Genomic DNA, 16,525 nt, shown 5'->3' with positions numbered 1-16,525 from the left:
GGCACAAGAGCCTCACCCTTCTACACCACTTTCCACGAACTTCCAGTTGCCTTCCTTCAAAATCCTTGTTTTCTTAAGAAACCCACAAAAATACCGCCCCTCTATCAAAACGTCCTCAGCTTTGCCAGGTAGAGAATTGCTTCTGCAGTAGCTGGGCCACGTCTCTGTGGTAGTGCCCACTGCATGGGATCGGTATTAATCTGTTTGTCTTTTTCATCTTCTGGGCTGTGAGCTCCTAGAAGTCAGCTTTTTCACTTTTACCCAAGCCAAACGGTTATTCGCGTAAGGTTGGTTATAATTAAAATGTCGGTTTGTGCACATGGTTTGGGACTCTGTGTATGAGTACGACTAATATCTTCAATTTACTAAGAAGATAAAGAGGTCGATAAATAAGGAGGTCAAGCCCGTTTTGCAAGGTCACACAGGAAAGAAGCAGACCACGAAATGAACTTCGGCTGTCACCTGCGGTGGGCGCACTAGAGGTCTTTTGAACTCCTTCGGCTACCGTCGCCGCGTTCTCGCTGTGCACTCTTATTCTGCGCCTGCGCGCGGCTACAGCACGGTTCGTTTTTCCTTTAGTCAGGAAGGACGTTGGTGTTGAGGTGAGTCCGGTCCCTTTTGCATCCCTACCCCGACACTGCGGGTTGTCACAACGGCACCCTCCCGCTTTCTCTCTGCCTCGGATTTAGTCGTGACTGTGTGTCTCCGCCGTGGTGCAGCTTCAGGCCTCTCCCGCATCTACTCTCTCACGCTTCCGCTGCGGCCTGAGGGAGGGCGGCGGGCGGACCACGGACCGGGGTGGGTTGCGACGGCCCCACCGAAGCCGGGTGGGCTGCGGGACCCTCGAGAACCCAGCTGGCTTCGGAGTGAGCTGGCCCGGGGCTGGTACCCGCTGCGCTTTTTCACAGCCATTGTGACCTTGGTGAGGTCATTTGACCTATCTGGCCCCGGTGTTTCTCCCGTGAGAAAAGGGGTGGTGGTTTCTAATGCAGCTGGTCGTGAGGCGCAAGGGTTAGTGTAGGCGAAGCAGCTGGCAGCGTCGCTCGCTGTGTGGCAGCGTTTTAAATTAGAGCTGGAAAACTGGAGGAGGGTCACCGTACCTGCCGCAGGAGGGGAAGGATGGGCTTCCTGCAACCTCCCTTGCCCCACGGCTTCCCATCCTACCCCCGGCCGCGTTAGCTGAAGGCCAGCAGGGACGCAAAAGTTTTTAGGCCCCTTAGGTCTTTAGGTGAGGCTGGGCAAAGGAGCAGTTAGGGAATTTGGGCCCTCATGGTATTTGCCGCGTTCCCGTCCAGGTTTTAATGGTATACCGTGTGACCGTGGAAAACACCTGCCTCATGATCTGACAGGGTTGTCGCGAAGGTTTAACGAGTGGACAGAAAATTTTTAGAAGAGAAAGTGTTGCATAAATGGGTTTGCAATCGTTAATTACCAATGCGGAGCTACTGCTTATTTTTCTTGTTGTTGGAAAGATTTTTGTTGCCTTTGCTCGTCCATTACTAGTGTGCCGCAGTTTGTCGCGTTTATTTAGGGTGGTCGCTCAGTATATGGGGGGCGGGGGGAAGATGAAACAGGCTAAGCCAAGAGACAGCTTAGGCTTTGTGGGAGGAATCCATCCACTGTCGTGCTGTGCCTCTCTAGGTAGTAAAATGTACTATGCATGAGAATTCCTTTTGATATCTTTTCTGAGTTTTTCTTTTATTATTTTACCCGAGAAAGGGAAAAAAAGCTCAGAGTAGTGAGAGCTACATGAGGTATGCAGGACGCAGAGACCTGAGTATTGGACTTCAGTGCCGCCCCTCACCCATGTCTCAACCCAAATCTTATTCCTGAATTTGTGATATAAAGGACAGCGTTTAGTCAGTCAATAGCTTATGTTATTTTAATGTAAATTTTTGATAAACAGTTTAGGAATTGCCTCTCATTTTTTCTTAACTCACTTGTAGGCCGGAATCCCAGCACTTTGGGAGGACGAGGTAGGATGATCACTTGAGGGCAGGAGTTTAAGACCAGCCTGGGGAGCATAGCTAGACCCTGTTTCTGCCAAAAAAGAAAAACATTCATTTGTAACTGCTGCTAATCGGAGTGTATATTCAGGGCAGCTCCAATCAATGCTTCCAGGTGGCCATTCTCAAGTTTGTGGCTTAAATAAACTCTGTACTTAATCATATTTTCTGAATCTCTTAAGGTTAGCATACGTATCAAGGACAGTAACTACCATGGCTCCCGAAGTTTTGCCAAAACCTCGGATGCGTGGCCTTCTGGCCAGGCGTCTGCGAAATCATATGGCTGTAGCATTCGTGCTATCCCTGGGGGTTGCAGCTTTGTATAAGGTATGTATGTTTTTTACTTTGTGCCGAAGGTCATAAAGTATGTGTTTTTGGTTGAAAAATCTTTTAAAGAAACTCCCCCTTGTAATGTGTTTCTTTCTAACCCTTTCTGCACTCACCTCAGTGTGACAGGAACTATAGCTTGTCCTCCATCTTTAAATGAAGCTTGTTAGTTTGCTGGAATGCCGTAACAAAGAACCACAGACTGGGTGCCTTAAATTTGCTCGCAGTTCTGGAGGCTAGAAATCTGTTGGCAGGGTTGATATCTTCTGAGGCCTCTGTTGGCTTGTAGATGGCTCCCTTTGTCTTCACAGGGTCCTCTGTGGGCATATATCTGTAGCTGAACTTCTTTCCCTTTCTTTTCCTTTACCTTTCCTTCCTTTCCTTTTTCTGCCCTTCTTTTCATTTTCTTTCCTTCTTTCCTTTTTCTTTCTTTGAAACAGGGTCTTACTCTGTCTCCCGGTACCTGGGACTGCAGGTACACACCACCGGAACTGGCTAATTTTTATATTTTTTGTAGAGATGAGGTTTCAGAGATGGCCACGTTGTTCAGGCTGGTCTTGAACTCCTGGGCTCAAGGGATTCACCTGCCTTGGCCTGCTAAAGTGCTGGGATTACAGGCATGAGCCACCACACCTGGCCTGCTGAATTTCTTAAAAGAACATCACTCATATTGGATTAGGGCCCACCCTAAAGGCCTCATTTTAACTTAGTTATAAAGCCCTTATTTCCAAAAAACGTTTAGATTCTGAGGTACTGAGAGTTAGGACTTAAACACATGAGTTTTGGTCAAACACAATTCAACCCATTACAGAAGCTAGTATGCAGAGGGGCTGGGAAGGCAGCATAGCTGCCCCTCTATCCATGGGGAATTGGTTCAGGAGCCCTGACGATATTTTAAATCATCTCTGGACTACTTATAATGCCTAATGCAATGTAAATGCTATGTCAATAGTTTATATTGTATTTTTAATTTTGTAGCATTTTTTATTATTTTGAATCCATGAGTGTGGAACGTGCAGGAATGGTGGGCCGATTATAGTTCTGTTTGACACCTTGAGTAATTGTCACAGAATTGCGTTTTAACACTCTGCCTAATGTGGATTTTGTTATGCCCTTTATTTTTAATCAAAGGCTGCACATTTACAACTTTTCCGTAAAAATGTTTTTGATAATATGTATATGTTTATCATGCTTGTCATAATACCCCATGAAAGAATTCAGAGCTTTGCTTTTATAACTCTTTGTATTTAATTTTTGTTTAGTGTTTATGTTCTTTACTGGGCTGTGAGCCTCATTAAGGCAGGTACCATGTCTTTTGTTTACTGTGGCACCCTGTTGTTGGGTGCCTGACACACAAATAGGTTATTAAAAGGACCTGTTGAATAAGAGGCAGTGTATAAAATTCAGTACAGTGTTGGGTAATGTAGAGTTTCAAGTGCTTTGGAGGACACAAAAGGCATGTAGCTAAATCTCTGTTCTTAAAGAACTTAGAGTCAAGTTGGGGAGGTGAAAAAAATTAGAAGACATTGCAAGATAGAACATAACTGAAAGAATGGTTTTGGGGGATGTTGTGGTTCACAGTTATTGTGGGTCATAGCTATTTGATAGAGGAGGTGGAATTTGAGCCTTGCAAGTTAGGGAGAGGGGCTGGGTCTGGTGTCTCATGCCTGTAATCCTGGCACTTTGGGAAGCTGAGGTGGGCGGATTGCTTGAGCTCACGAGTTCAAGACCAGCCTGGGCGATATGGAGAAACTACGTCTCTACTAAAATACAAAAATTAGCTGGGCCTTTCTTCTTTTTTTTTTTGTTTTTTTGAGATGGAGTCTCACTCTGTTGCCCATGCTGGAGTGCAGTGGCGTGAACTCAGCTCAGTGCAAGCTCCGCCTCCCGGGTTCACGCCATTCTCCTGCCTCAGCCTCCTGAGTAGCTGGGACTACAGGCGTCCGCCACCACACCCGGCTAATTTTTTGTGTATTTTTTAGTAGAGACGGGGTTTCACCGTGTTAGCCAGGATGGTCTCCCATCTCCTGACCTCATGATCCGCCCGCCTCGGCCTCCCAAAGTGCTGGGATTATAGGCGTGAGCCACCGCACCCGGTCGCATTTCTTCTAAAAATACAAAAATACATGATGTGCCTGTGGCCCTAGCTACTCAGGAAGTTGAGGTGGGAGGTTGGCTTTAGCCTGGGAGGCAGAGGTGTCAGCCAAGATTGGGAGGCGAGGCCAGGTACAGTGGCTCATGCCAGTTATCCCAGCACTTTGGGAGGCTGAGGCGGGCAGATCACCTGAGGTCAGGAGTTCGAGACCAGCCTGGCCTACATGGTGAAACCCCATCTCTACTAAAAATACAAAAAAATTAGCCGGGCGTGGTGTCGGGCACCTGTAATCCCAGCTGCTCGGCAGGCTGAGGCAGGAGAATTGCTTGAACCCAGGAAGGGGAGGTTACAGTGAGCCGAGTTCGCACCATTACACTCCAGCCTGGGCAACAAGAGCGAGACTCTGTCTCAAAAAAAAAAAAAAAAAATTGGGAGGTGGAGGTTGCAGTGAGCCGAGATCGTGCCGCTGCACTCCAGGCTGGGCGATAGAGCCAGACTTTGTCTCAAAAAAAAAAGTTAGGGAGAACTGGGAGAGCAAAGAGGAGATGGAACACTGAGTGGGAGCACTAAGTGGACCTATGCTTTGGGACTCTTTGGAGAGACAAGCACACAAAGTCTTTTGGTCCTTGAGATTCCTGCTGCCTGGCATATATAGTGGGCATGAAGTAAATGTTTGTAGAAGGGATGGATGTGATGCAGAATTTTTGCTCCTTAGTTTAGCTAAATTTGGGTTCTTGTGTCATGACCAGGAGGAATTAGGCACATGGAAACATTGAAGGGTGAGGAGGGCTGAATTTATTGGGTGAAAAGGAAAAAAGAAAACAGACTCTCAGCAAAGCAAGAGGGGGTCCTGCTAACAGGCCCCCACCTCACAGATTGAATACTAGGCTACCACACAGGAGCTGAAGAGACTAGGCTCCTCCCCACTGCACAAGGTGCAGCTTCTCCTGGTTCCACCCTGTTCCCCCAGTGTGCCTGTGGCCATTACTCAAAAAGAATCAGTCCTGAAAGGGTGGGCAAATGTGCAGCTCTCCCTCAGGGTCGTGGGATCTGGGTCCAACAGTCTGGCCTTTCAGCCTTCAGGCTGTTTTAGGCTTGAAGGTGGGTTTTTGCTAGGACCCTTGGCTGTCTCTCTGTCAGATGGATGACTAAGTGAGGTAGGGAGAGTCCAAATTAACCGTACATGTAATGATGGCCCCCAGCACTTGTGCTTCTGCCTCTTTTTATTTTAATTTTTTCAAGACGGAGTCTTGCTCTGTCACCCAGGCTAGAGTGCAGCGTCACCATCTCGGCTCACTGCACCCTCCGAGGCCTCCCAGGTTCAAGCAATTCTCCTGCCTCAGCCTCCCAAGTAGCTGGGATTACAGGTGCCCACCACCATGCCTGGCTAATTTTTGTATTTTTAGTAGAGATGGGGTTTCATCATGTTGGCCAGGCTGGTCTCCAATTCCTGACCTTGTGATTCGCCCCCCTTGGCCTCCCAAAGTGCTGGGATTGTAGGCATGAGCCACCACGCCCGACCTCTGCCTCTTGATTTTATTACTGGGAAGAAATTGGGAATTCAAATAGAAGTGAAGCAGTAAAACTGGTCAGGTAAAGGATTCTTACTGCGTTACTCCATCAAGTAGCATGATTTCTGTGTATTTCTGCAGAGGGAGACCCCATCTTTTTTATTTTTTATTTTTTTTTTATTTTTTATTTTTTTTTATTTTTTATTTTTTTGAGACAGAGTCTCGCTCTGTCCCCCAGGCTGGAGTGCAGTGGTGAGATCTCGGCTCACTGCAACCTCCGTCTCCCGGGTTCACGCCATTCTCCTGCCTCAGCCTCCCGAGTAGCTGGGACTACAGGCGAGACCCCATCTTTAAAAAAAATAATAAGTCACTTAAACTTTCCATTTTTGTCTTGAATCTTCATTTTTTCTTTCTCTGTTGAACCCCACCCACCCTTTGTGTACGGAAACCTCGAACAAAACAAAATAGACACCTTATTCCCCATTCTTTTCTTTGCAAATTTAGCAGTTTCTTAGACTTTGTCTTCCTTTTTATCTGTCACCACCTCCACCCCTTAGGAAATGTAGGGTTTAAATTAAAGGGTGAACAAAAACATGTGTTCTACCTTGTCTTTATATATTATAATCTGGAATCTAATTTCCAGTAATCTGAAAAATAAACTCTAATGGATGGTTGCTTTTTAGTTTCGTGTGGCTGATCAAAGAAAGAAGGCATACGCAGATTTCTACAGAAACTACGATGTCATGAAAGATTTTGAGGAGATGAGGAAGGCTGGTATCTTTCAGAGTGTAAAGTAATCTTGGAATATAAAGGTAATATGGTTATTTGAAGTTACTTAAAAAAAAATTTCTAATTGTGGTAAAATGCAAATACAGGTGACTGTCCCTCACAATGTTTAGACTTAAGATTTTTTGACTTTACGATGGTGTGGAAGTGATACACATTTGGTAGAAACCATACTTTGAATTTTGATCTTTGTCCACATGAGCAATAAGTGGCACAATACTTTTGTGATGTGGGGGAGCACCAATGACCACATCCCCCAGTCAGAAACATAATCACAAGGGTAAACAGCTGATGCTGTACTCTGTAGTGTTGTGTGAGATACTCAGTGTTTTATTATAAGCTAGGCTTTGTGTTAGATGATTTTCTTCAGCTGTAGGCTAACATAAGTGTTCTGAGCACATTTAAGGTAGGGAAGGCTAAGCTATGATGTAAGTTAGGTGTATTAAATGCATTTTCAACTTAAGATATTTTAAACTTATGATGGTTTTATCAGAATGTAACCTGATGGTAAGTTAAGGAGCATCTATAATATAAAATTTGCCATCTTAACCATTTTTAATTGTACAGTTTAGTAGTGTTAAGTTCATTCACATTGTTGTGCAACCAGTCTCCAGAACTCGTCATCTTACAGAATTGAAACCCTATATCCATTAAGCAACCCATTCACACCTCCACTCAGACCCTGGCAGCCACTGTGTTACTTTCTAAGAATTTGGCTACCCCAGGCATCTCATAAGTAGAATCACACAGTATTTGTTTTCTTGTGACTGGCTTATTTCACTTAGCGTAGTGTACTCAAGGTTCATCCATGTTACAGCATGTGTCAGAATTTCCTTTCTTTTTAAAGCTGAATGATCTATTTTAGTTGTGTCACATTGTTATCCATTCATCCATCAGTAGATGCTTGGGTTGCTTCCACTTTTTGATTGTTGTGAGTGATGCTGTGAACCTAGGCATGCAAATATTCCTTCAAGGCCTTGCTATCAATTCTTTTGGGGTATATTCAAAAGTGGAATTCCTGGATCATATGATTTTTAATTTCTTAAGAAACTGCCATACCCTTTTCCATAGTGGCTGCACCATTTTACACTCTTTCCATCCTCCCCAACACTTGTTAATTTTTTTTTTAACAGGGTCTCCCTCTGTCACCCAGGCCGTAGTGCTGTAGTGCGATCATGGCTCACTGCAGCCTCAACCTCCCAGGCTCAAGGGATCTTCCTGCCTCAGCCTCCCAAGAAGCTGGCACTATAGGCATGTGCCACCACACCTGGCTAACTTCTTTATTTTTAGTAGAGACAGGGTTTCACCATATTACCTGGGCTGTGCTTGAATTCCTGGGCTCAGGCGATCCGTCCACCTTGGCCTCCCAAAGTGTTGGGATTACAGGCGTGAGCCACTGTGCCTGGCATAATTTTGGTATTTTTTGATAGTAGCCATCCTAATAGGTATGAGGTGGTATCATTGTGGTTTTGATTTGCATTTCCCTGATTATTTGTGTTCTTGAGCATCTTTTCATGTACTTATTGGCCATTTGTATGTTATCTTTGGAGAAATGTTTATTCAGTTCTGCTCATTTTCAAATTTGGTTTTTTGTTTATTGGTTGAGTTGTTCTGTATATATTCTGGATATTAACCCCTTATCAGATATGATTTGTAAATATTTTCTCCCATTTCATAGGTTGCCTTTTCACTCTGTTGTGTCCCTTGATGCACAGAAATTTTGATGTCGAATTTATTTTTATTTTTGTTCTGTGTGCTTTTAGTGTCATATTCAATAAATCATTGCCAAATCCAATGTCATGAAGTCTTTTTTATGTGTTCTTCTAAGACTTTTATAGTTTTAGCTCTTATGTTTAGATCTTTGATTCACTTGAATTTTTGTGTAGGGTGTAAAGATCCAACTGTATTCTTTTACATGTGGTATCCAGTTTTCCCGAAATCATTTAAGATTGTCCTCTTCCATGGAGTGGTCTTGGTACCTTGGTGAAATCATTTGACTCTAAATGCGAGAGTTTATTTCTGGGCTATTTCTTTAGTCTGTATGTCTGTCTTCGGGGCAGTACTACACTGTTTTGATTACAGTAGTCCGTTTTATCTAAGATATGTTTCAAGACCCCTCTAGTGGATTCTTGAAACCACAGATAGTACCAAACCCTGTATATATTATGTTGTTTTTCGTGTACGTACATACCTATGATGACGTTTAACTCATAAATTAGACATAGTAAGAGATGAGCAACAATAACAAAATAGAACAATTGTAGTGTATAGTAATAAAAGGTGAATGTGATCTCTCAATATCTTGCTGTACTGTACTCACCTGTTTTTGAACCACAGTTGACTGTGGGTAGAACTAAAGCGGTGGAAGGTTAAACCACAAATAAGGGATGACTGCTACACTGTAGCTTTGTAGTATGCTTTAAAATCAGTAAGTGTGAGTCCTCTAGCTTTGTTCTTTCTTTCACCCCACCCGGAGGGTGCTCTAGCTATTTGTGGTTCCTTAAGAGTCTGTGAATTTTAGGATGGATTTTTCTATTTCTGTAAAAATGCCATTGGGATTTTGATAGGGATTGCATTAAATCTGTAGATTACTTTGGTAGTATGGACATCGTAACAATATTAAGTATTCCAATCCATGAACACAGGATGTCTTTCCTCTTATTTGTATCTTTAATTTCTTTTAGCAGTAGTTTGCATCTTTAATTTCTTTTAGTGTTGCTACTCTCTTACTATGCCTAATTTATGAGTTAAGCTTTATTATAGGTATGTGTATATATAGGAAAAAACGTAGCTGTATAGGGTTTGGTACCATCCATAGTTTCAGTAATTCACTGGAAGGGTCTTGAAACATATCACCTTGGATAAAAGGAGACTACTATAATCAAAACAATGTGTCCAAGGACACACATTTCTTTCCGTACTTTTCCTTTATTTTATAGTGACATGTTTCAGTTTCCTTCTTACTTCCTTATGTGTATATTCTGTATTTTCTTTGTGGTTACCATGGGGATTGCATGAATGAGATTTGCTAATTTTTTTAGCAGTATACAGGTATATATCTGTTTCATCTAGGTCAGTGTTTAAGTCTTTCATATTCCTGATTAAATACATTCCTAAGTATTATTTTTGGTGCTATTATAAATAGAATTATTTTCTTAATTTCCTTTATTAGGCATTCCTTTATTTCCTTCATTGTTGGTGTGTAGAAAGAGCTGATTTTTGTATCCTCCAACTTAGTAGAATTCATGTATTCTGACACTTGTGTGTTAGAAATCTTTAGGGTTTGCTGGAGGTAAGATTATATGATCTGTAAACAGATAGTTTTACTTACTCCTTTCCTTTTTGGATGTTGCTTATTCCTTCTTGCCTCATTGCTCTGGCTAGGACTTCCAGTACTACAATGAATAGAAGTGGCAAGAGCGGGCATCCTTGTCTGGTTCTAGGTATTAGAGGAAAAGCTTTCACGTTTTCCATGTTCAGTATACTAGACTTGTCCTTTTTGGCCATTGTTGGGTTGAAGTACATTCCTTCTGTTGATAGTTTTGATCATGAAAGGATGTTGAATTTTGTCAAGTACTTTTTCTGCATTTTTTGAGATGTGTTTTTTATCCTTCATTCTGTCAGTGTGGTATGTCACATCTATTGATTTGCATATGTTGAACTATCCTTGCATCCTAGGGATAAATCCCACTTAATCATAGTACATGATTCTTTTAATGCGATGTCAAATCTGGTTTGCTAGTGTTTTGTTGACGATTTTTGCATCTGTGTTAAAGGATTTGGCCTATAGTTTTCTCGTGTGTTTGTCTTTGATATCAGGATAATGCTGGCCTTATAGAATGAATGTGGAAATGTTCCCTTTTCCTCACTGTTTTTGGAAAAACTTGAGGAGGATTGGTGCTGGTTTCATAGAGGGCTGGGCATGGTGGCTCATGCCTGTAATCCCAGCACTTTGGGAGGCTGAGAAAGGAGGATCACTATAATCCAGAAGTTAGAGATCAGCCTGTGCAACATGGCAAGACCCCATCTCTACCAAAAAAAAAATATATATATATATATATACACACACACACACACACACATACATATATACACACACACACATATATATACACACACACAGATATATATATAGTTAGCTGGGTGTGGTGGTACATGCCTGTAGTCTCAGTTACTTGGGAGGCTGAGGCAGGAGGTTCACTTGAGCACAGGAGTTTAAGGCTGCATAAGCTATGATCACACCACTGCACTCCATCCTGGATAACAGAATATGAGACCCTGTCTCAAAAAAGTTTGGTAGGATTCACCATATGGTCTTGGACTCTTGTTTTTTGAAGTTTTTGGCTACTGATTAAAAATTCCTACTAGTTATAGACGTTCAGATTATTGTTTTCCTGATCCAGTCTTGGTTAGATTGTGTTTCTAGAGTGGGTGTGGTAGCTCATAAGGCCTGTAATCCCAGCACTTTGGGAGACCAAAGCAGGTGAATTGCTTGAGCCCAGGAGTTTGAAACCAGCCTGGGCAACATGGCGAAACCCCGTCTCTACAAAAAAAATACAAAAAATAATGTGGGTGTGATGGCACACGCCTGCAGTCCCAGCTACCTGGGAAGATTACCTGAGCCTGGGAGGTCAAGGCTGCAGTGAGCAGTGATTGTACCACTGCACTCCAGCCTAGGCATCAGAGGGAGATGCTGTCCCCACTCCCCCACAAAATTTTTTTTTGAGTTATGTATTTCTATTTCATTAGGTCATCCAGTTTGTTTACATATAATTGTTCATAGCATTCTCACTCCTTTTTAGATCTGTAAAATCAGTTGTAATGTTCCCTCTGTTAGTTGGTGGTTCTCTTTTTTTATTAGTCTGACTAAAGGTTTGTTGATTTGATCTTTTCAAAGAACTAACTGTTGGCTTTGATTTTTCTCTATTGTAGTCATTTTGTTTAATATTATTCAGCTACATTTGGGTTTAATTCCTCTTTTTCTAGTTCTTAGGTTGATACAGTTTTTTAAAAATTTCCTTGTAATTTCTTTTTTAATTTATTGATTGTTAAGAGTCTGTTTAATTTAAACACATTTGTGGATTTTCCTCTTTTCCTTTGGCTTTTGATTTCTAGTTTCATGCCATTGTGATCAGAAAAGATACTTTGTATGATTTCCAGTCTTTTAAAATTGAAGACTTATTTTGTGACCTAACATATGGTTTGTCTTGGAGAATGTTCCATGTTCTCTTGGGAAAAATGTGTATTCTGTTGTTAGCTGGAGTGTTTTGTTAAGTCCAGTTGATTTGTAGTGTTGTTCAAGTCATATGTTTTCTTATTAATCCTTCTATCTAGTTGTTCTGTCAATTATTGAAAGTGGAGTATTGAAGTCCTCTACTGCTATTGTAGAGCTGTCTGCTTCTCCCTTCAATTCTGTCAGTGTTTGCTTCATATATTTAGAGCTCTGATGTTTGGTGCATATGTATTTATAATTGCTAGATCTTATTGGTGAATTAATCTTTTTAAATTATAGAATGTTCTTTTTTGTCTCTTGAAACATTTTAGACTTGGTCTATTTTGTCTGATTTAGTGTAGCTACCCCTGTTCTCCTGGTTGCTGTATGTGTGGGACATCTTTTTCTACCCGTTCACTTTCAACTTGTGTGTCCTTAGATCTACAGTGAGTCTCTTGTAGACAGCATATAATTGGATCCAGGTTTTTAATCCATTCTGTCATTGTCTTTTGGTTGGGGAATTTAATCCATTTACATTTAAGATAATTACTGATAAAGACACAGTATTGCCATTTTGTTTTCTATGTGTCTTACAGCTTCTTTGTCCCTCATTTCTTTCCTCACTCTTTTATTTTATAGTGACATGTTTCAGTCTTTCCTTTTATATTCAGTATTTTCTTTGTGGTTACCATGGGGATTACATGAAATATGCTAAAGTTAGAACGATTTATTTTAAACTTAAAACAACCTCAATTGCATATAAAAACTCAACTCCTTTACAGCACCACCCTCTTTTCCTGTGTTACTGATATCACACATTATGTGTTTATATATTATGTATCCATTAACATGGACCTATATAGTTACTTCTTATGCTTTTGTCTTTTAAATCCTATAAAAGAATTAAAAATGAATTTACAAACCAATTTTTTTTTTTTTTTTAAGAGATGGAGTCTTACTCTGTCACCCAGGCTGGAATGTAGTGATGCAATCTCGGCTCACTGCAACTTCCGCCTCGTGGGTTCAAGCAATTCTCATGCCTCAGCCTCCCGAGTAGCTTGAATTACAGATGCACCCCACTGTGCTCAGCTAATTTTTATATTTTTAGTAGAGATGGGATTTCACCGTGTTGGCCAGACTGGTCTTGAACTCCTGACCTCAAGTGATTTGCCTGCCTGGGCCTCCCAAAGTCCTGGGATAACAGGCATGAGCCACTGTACCTGGCACAAACCAAATTTTAATATAAGCTTCTATGTTCTTTGCCAGAGAACTTTATATTTTCACATGGCTTTGAGTTACTGACTAGTGTCCTTTTTGTTTCAACTTGAAGGATTCCCTTTAGCATTTCTGTAGGGCAAATCTAATTGGTAAAACTCCTTTGACTTTTTTATCTGGGAATTTCTCCTTCATTTTTGAAGGACTGTTTTGTGGGATGTATTATTCTCAATTGACAGGTGTTTTGTTTGTTTTTTTAAGCTCTCTGCCCTTTTTCTCTTCTGGGACTCGGTAATACCTATATTGGTCTGCTTGGTATAGTCAGATATCTTAAGCTAGTTACTTTTTTTTTTCTCTTCAGACTTTTAAAATTTAATTTAATTTTATAGAGATGGGGTCTCACCATGTTGCCTGGGCTGGTCTTGAACTCCTAGGCTCAGGTGATCCTACTGCCTTGGCCTCCCAGATTACAGGCATGAGCCACCATGTCCGGCCTGCTCTTCAGACTTGATAACTTCAAATGATCTGTCTTGAAGTTTCCTGATTCTTTCCTCTGCCTGAGTCTGCTGTTAAATCCCTCTAGTGATTCCGACCCCTTCTCCCCCCATTCAGTTACTACATTTTTCAGCTCCACAGTGTGTTTGGTTTTTAGAAATAATTTTCTCTTTGTTTATATTCTCACTTGTTTATATATTGTTTATCTAATTTTGCTTAGTTGTCCACACTCTCCTTTAGCTCATTGAGCATTTTTTAGATAGTTGTTCTTAAGGTTTTATAGAGTAAGTCAGCAGCCTCTGTTTCTTTAGGGTTGGTTTGTGGAGATTTCTTTCTTTCAATCGTCCGTGTTTCCCTATTTCTTTATGTGCCTTGTGATCTTTTGTGAAATTCAGGCATTTGCAAAACCAGCTACCTGTCCCTTTGCAGACTGGCTCCATGCATGGAAAGGCCTTCACTGATTAGCGCACCATAAAGGCTTGGTGTCCTCTCAAACTTTTCCTGGGGATGCCATCTTCCCTGGGCCTGTGCATATGCATTAGTTTTAGTTTCCTCCTATACACAGCTGCCTTTCAGTTTTTCTTAGTTTTCCTGAGTTTGCCTCCAGCTTCCTCTTGGAGTCTTAGCTGTTCTGTTATTCTTTTGTCTCTGATCTCTTGCCCACAGGTTTCTGTAGGTCTGTGTTCCCCTGCAGCTCACTCATGCCATGGTACCCATCATTGCTTTCAGCTCTTTCCAACCTCCTATCCAAACTATGCCATTGTTCCCATTAGCACTCTGATTCAGGCAAGACAGAAAGCAGTCCCTTGGGCAGCTCCACACAAACCAGAACATTGTAGGTCAGTTTCATTCTTTACCTTATGTCCTGAGGGAAGAGCCAGGGTAGTTTTCTTCTGACTATTGTACTGAGGAGGGCATTTGGCAAGAGTGAGCAAAAATGCCATGAAATTTCCTGCTACTTTGAGTGTGGCTTTTTCTTGGATAGGTGGTTCCTTTGGTTGCTGCTCAACTGGTTTCTAGAGTTCTCATAAAGCTAAACATTTTTAAATTTTTGGTCCATATGTTTATTCATTATTTTTTGTGGGGGTTTGGGGGCCTGGAGCTTCACAGTCTATCTTGCTGACATGAAACTACTTTTTATGTTCAAAATCATTTTTATAGGTTATGCTATTAATTGCTAGATTGGCATTACGAATGTTACACTTTTAGAAGTCACTTTTTTAAAAAAAAGTATTTGGGACAGTATAGTTTGTTAGGTGGGTGTCCACGAGTGACTAGCTGTCTTTCCATAGGTCTGGTTTGGTCTGTTGTATTCACAAGGTCCTTATGCCTCATGGACAGTGTGAATTAAAGTTCTATTATCTAGAAAAGGACTGACTGGTGTGCTGATGGAAAGTCATCTAAACTGATTTGATAGCATGTATGAAGTACCTTGATGAGACTTCCTACTCTGGAATCTTATGTGTATATTTAACAAAAAAGAACAATGTAGTTTCTTTTTGCCACTTCAGTCTGGGTTTATGCCTTGTAAATGAGTTTGCTGTGACACAGAGAATGTGAAACTGCTATTTTGTCAGGCAGTGTTCCTAAATAAGCATTTCAGTTGCACTACATATATGTGGGTTACATTCCAATAAACCTTATCATATGTTGAGAATATCGTAAGTCAAAAATGCATTTAAGACCCTGGAAAACCCATTAGAAAGTCAAAAAAATTGTAAGTCAAACCATCATAAGTTGGGTACCATGTGTATTAAGGAAAAAAAATCAAGAAAATATTAATGGTTGTTTATAATCTTAACATATCTGCTTTAACTTTGAAATTTTCAAAATTTACAGTGAGCATGCATTTTATAATCAGAAGATGTTAATAGGCTAATTTAAATTTGTTAGATTTTTACCATTTTTAAGATTATGTTTAAAAACCTGTATGAGAGAACATATTTGGAGACAGGAACAAAAATATGGCTTGGAACAGAAACAGTATGTGGCTATAAGGGTTAATGGCAGGGGGGTGGGGGCGGTGGTGGGCATAGAATTGAGAAGGAAAAAAGCAGAATTTGTTCAATGCACACAAGCAATGAGAGTAAGGTGTGGTATGCCCAAAATGGAAAAGAGGCTATTCAGAGTGGTCAGGGAGCTTAGAGGAGCGTAAAGGAGAGTGAAACTTGGAGTCCAGGTAGCCTGAACTGTGCTTTTTCTGTGGCTGAGGGTGAGTGATCAAGGTGTGAAGTCTACTAGTAGGAATAGACCTCAGTTGATCCTCAAAGATGGTGAGTATTGAGAGAGTGTTTATCTCTAACTTAGCCTTTGTGTTTCTCTTCACAGAATTTCTTCAGGTTGAATTACCTAGAAGTTTGTCACTGACTTGTGTTCCTGAACTATGACACATGAATATGTGGGCTAAGAAATAGTTCCTCTTGATAAATAAACAATTAACAAATACTTTGGACAGTAAGTCTTTCTCAGTTCTTAATGATAATGCAGGGCACTTACTAGCATAAGAATTGGTTTGGGATTTAACTGTTTATGAAGCTAACTTGATTTCCGTGTTTTGTTAAAATTTCATTGTTCTAGCACATCTTTAACTGTGATAGTTTGTCCGTTTCATTGCAGTTACTTGGTCTTGGGCTATGGATTAAAAAGTGTTCTTCATGAGCCTGTAAGACTACTGTACTGTGGGCTCTAAGAAGAGATAGAATCCTAATAAAATCTATCCTTGGCCTTCATTGCCACTATTTGGTAGCTGTGCCACCACCACATAGTTGAAATAGGTAATTCAAATGTAGGGTTTCTTACTCAGTATTGCTTTATTAATAACAAGCTAACAGTATGTAATAGAATTTGGATATATATCTAATCCAGAAAAGGTTACTTA

At 41.0% G+C, this 16,525-nt stretch overlaps 1 protein-coding gene across 2 annotated transcripts, besides 3 other annotated features; it reads left to right on the top strand.

Moving 5' to 3' along the window:
• Positions 396-1,043: an enhancer, noted in NCBI's record as "H3K27ac hESC enhancer chr8:100905426-100906073 (GRCh37/hg19 assembly coordinates)". NCBI's record gives its function as "activates a minimal SCP1, AML or CMV promoter by ChIP-STARR-seq in naive H9 embryonic stem cells {active_cell/tissue: H9 hESC(naive)}" and the evidence as "EXISTENCE:reporter gene assay evidence [ECO:0000049][PMID:30033119]".
• COX6C (cytochrome c oxidase subunit 6C) lies at positions 534-16,376 on the top strand. Of its 2 annotated transcripts, none has more exons than NM_004374.4 (4): positions 534-602; positions 2,189-2,333; positions 6,623-6,751; positions 15,976-16,376. In NM_004374.4, exons 2-3 carry the CDS (start codon positions 2,220-2,222, stop codon positions 6,734-6,736), a joined length of 228 nt encoding a protein of 75 aa, NP_004365.1. In that variant the 5' UTR covers positions 534-602; positions 2,189-2,219; the 3' UTR covers positions 6,737-6,751; positions 15,976-16,376. The 2 variants fall into 2 exon arrangements, with proteins under 2 accessions (NP_004365.1, XP_016868509.1); XM_017013020.2 differs by having other exon boundaries at positions 534-798.
• Positions 753-922: a silencer, noted in NCBI's record as "silent region_19406". NCBI's record gives its function as "represses an Ori minimal core promoter by ATAC-STARR-seq in GM12878 lymphoblastoid cells {active_cell/tissue: GM12878}" and the evidence as "EXISTENCE:reporter gene assay evidence [ECO:0000049][PMID:35858748]".
• Positions 1,044-1,692: an enhancer, noted in NCBI's record as "H3K27ac hESC enhancer chr8:100904777-100905425 (GRCh37/hg19 assembly coordinates)". NCBI's record gives its function as "activates a minimal SCP1, AML or CMV promoter by ChIP-STARR-seq in naive H9 embryonic stem cells {active_cell/tissue: H9 hESC(naive)}" and the evidence as "EXISTENCE:reporter gene assay evidence [ECO:0000049][PMID:30033119]".

This window comes from Homo sapiens, chromosome 8 (genome assembly GCF_000001405.40).
Source record: "Homo sapiens chromosome 8, GRCh38.p14 Primary Assembly".
NCBI classification, from domain to species: domain Eukaryota; kingdom Metazoa; phylum Chordata; class Mammalia; order Primates; family Hominidae; genus Homo; species Homo sapiens.
The sequence above is the reverse complement of the archived record's forward strand: the minus strand, read 5'-3'. Positions and strand labels throughout refer to the sequence as shown.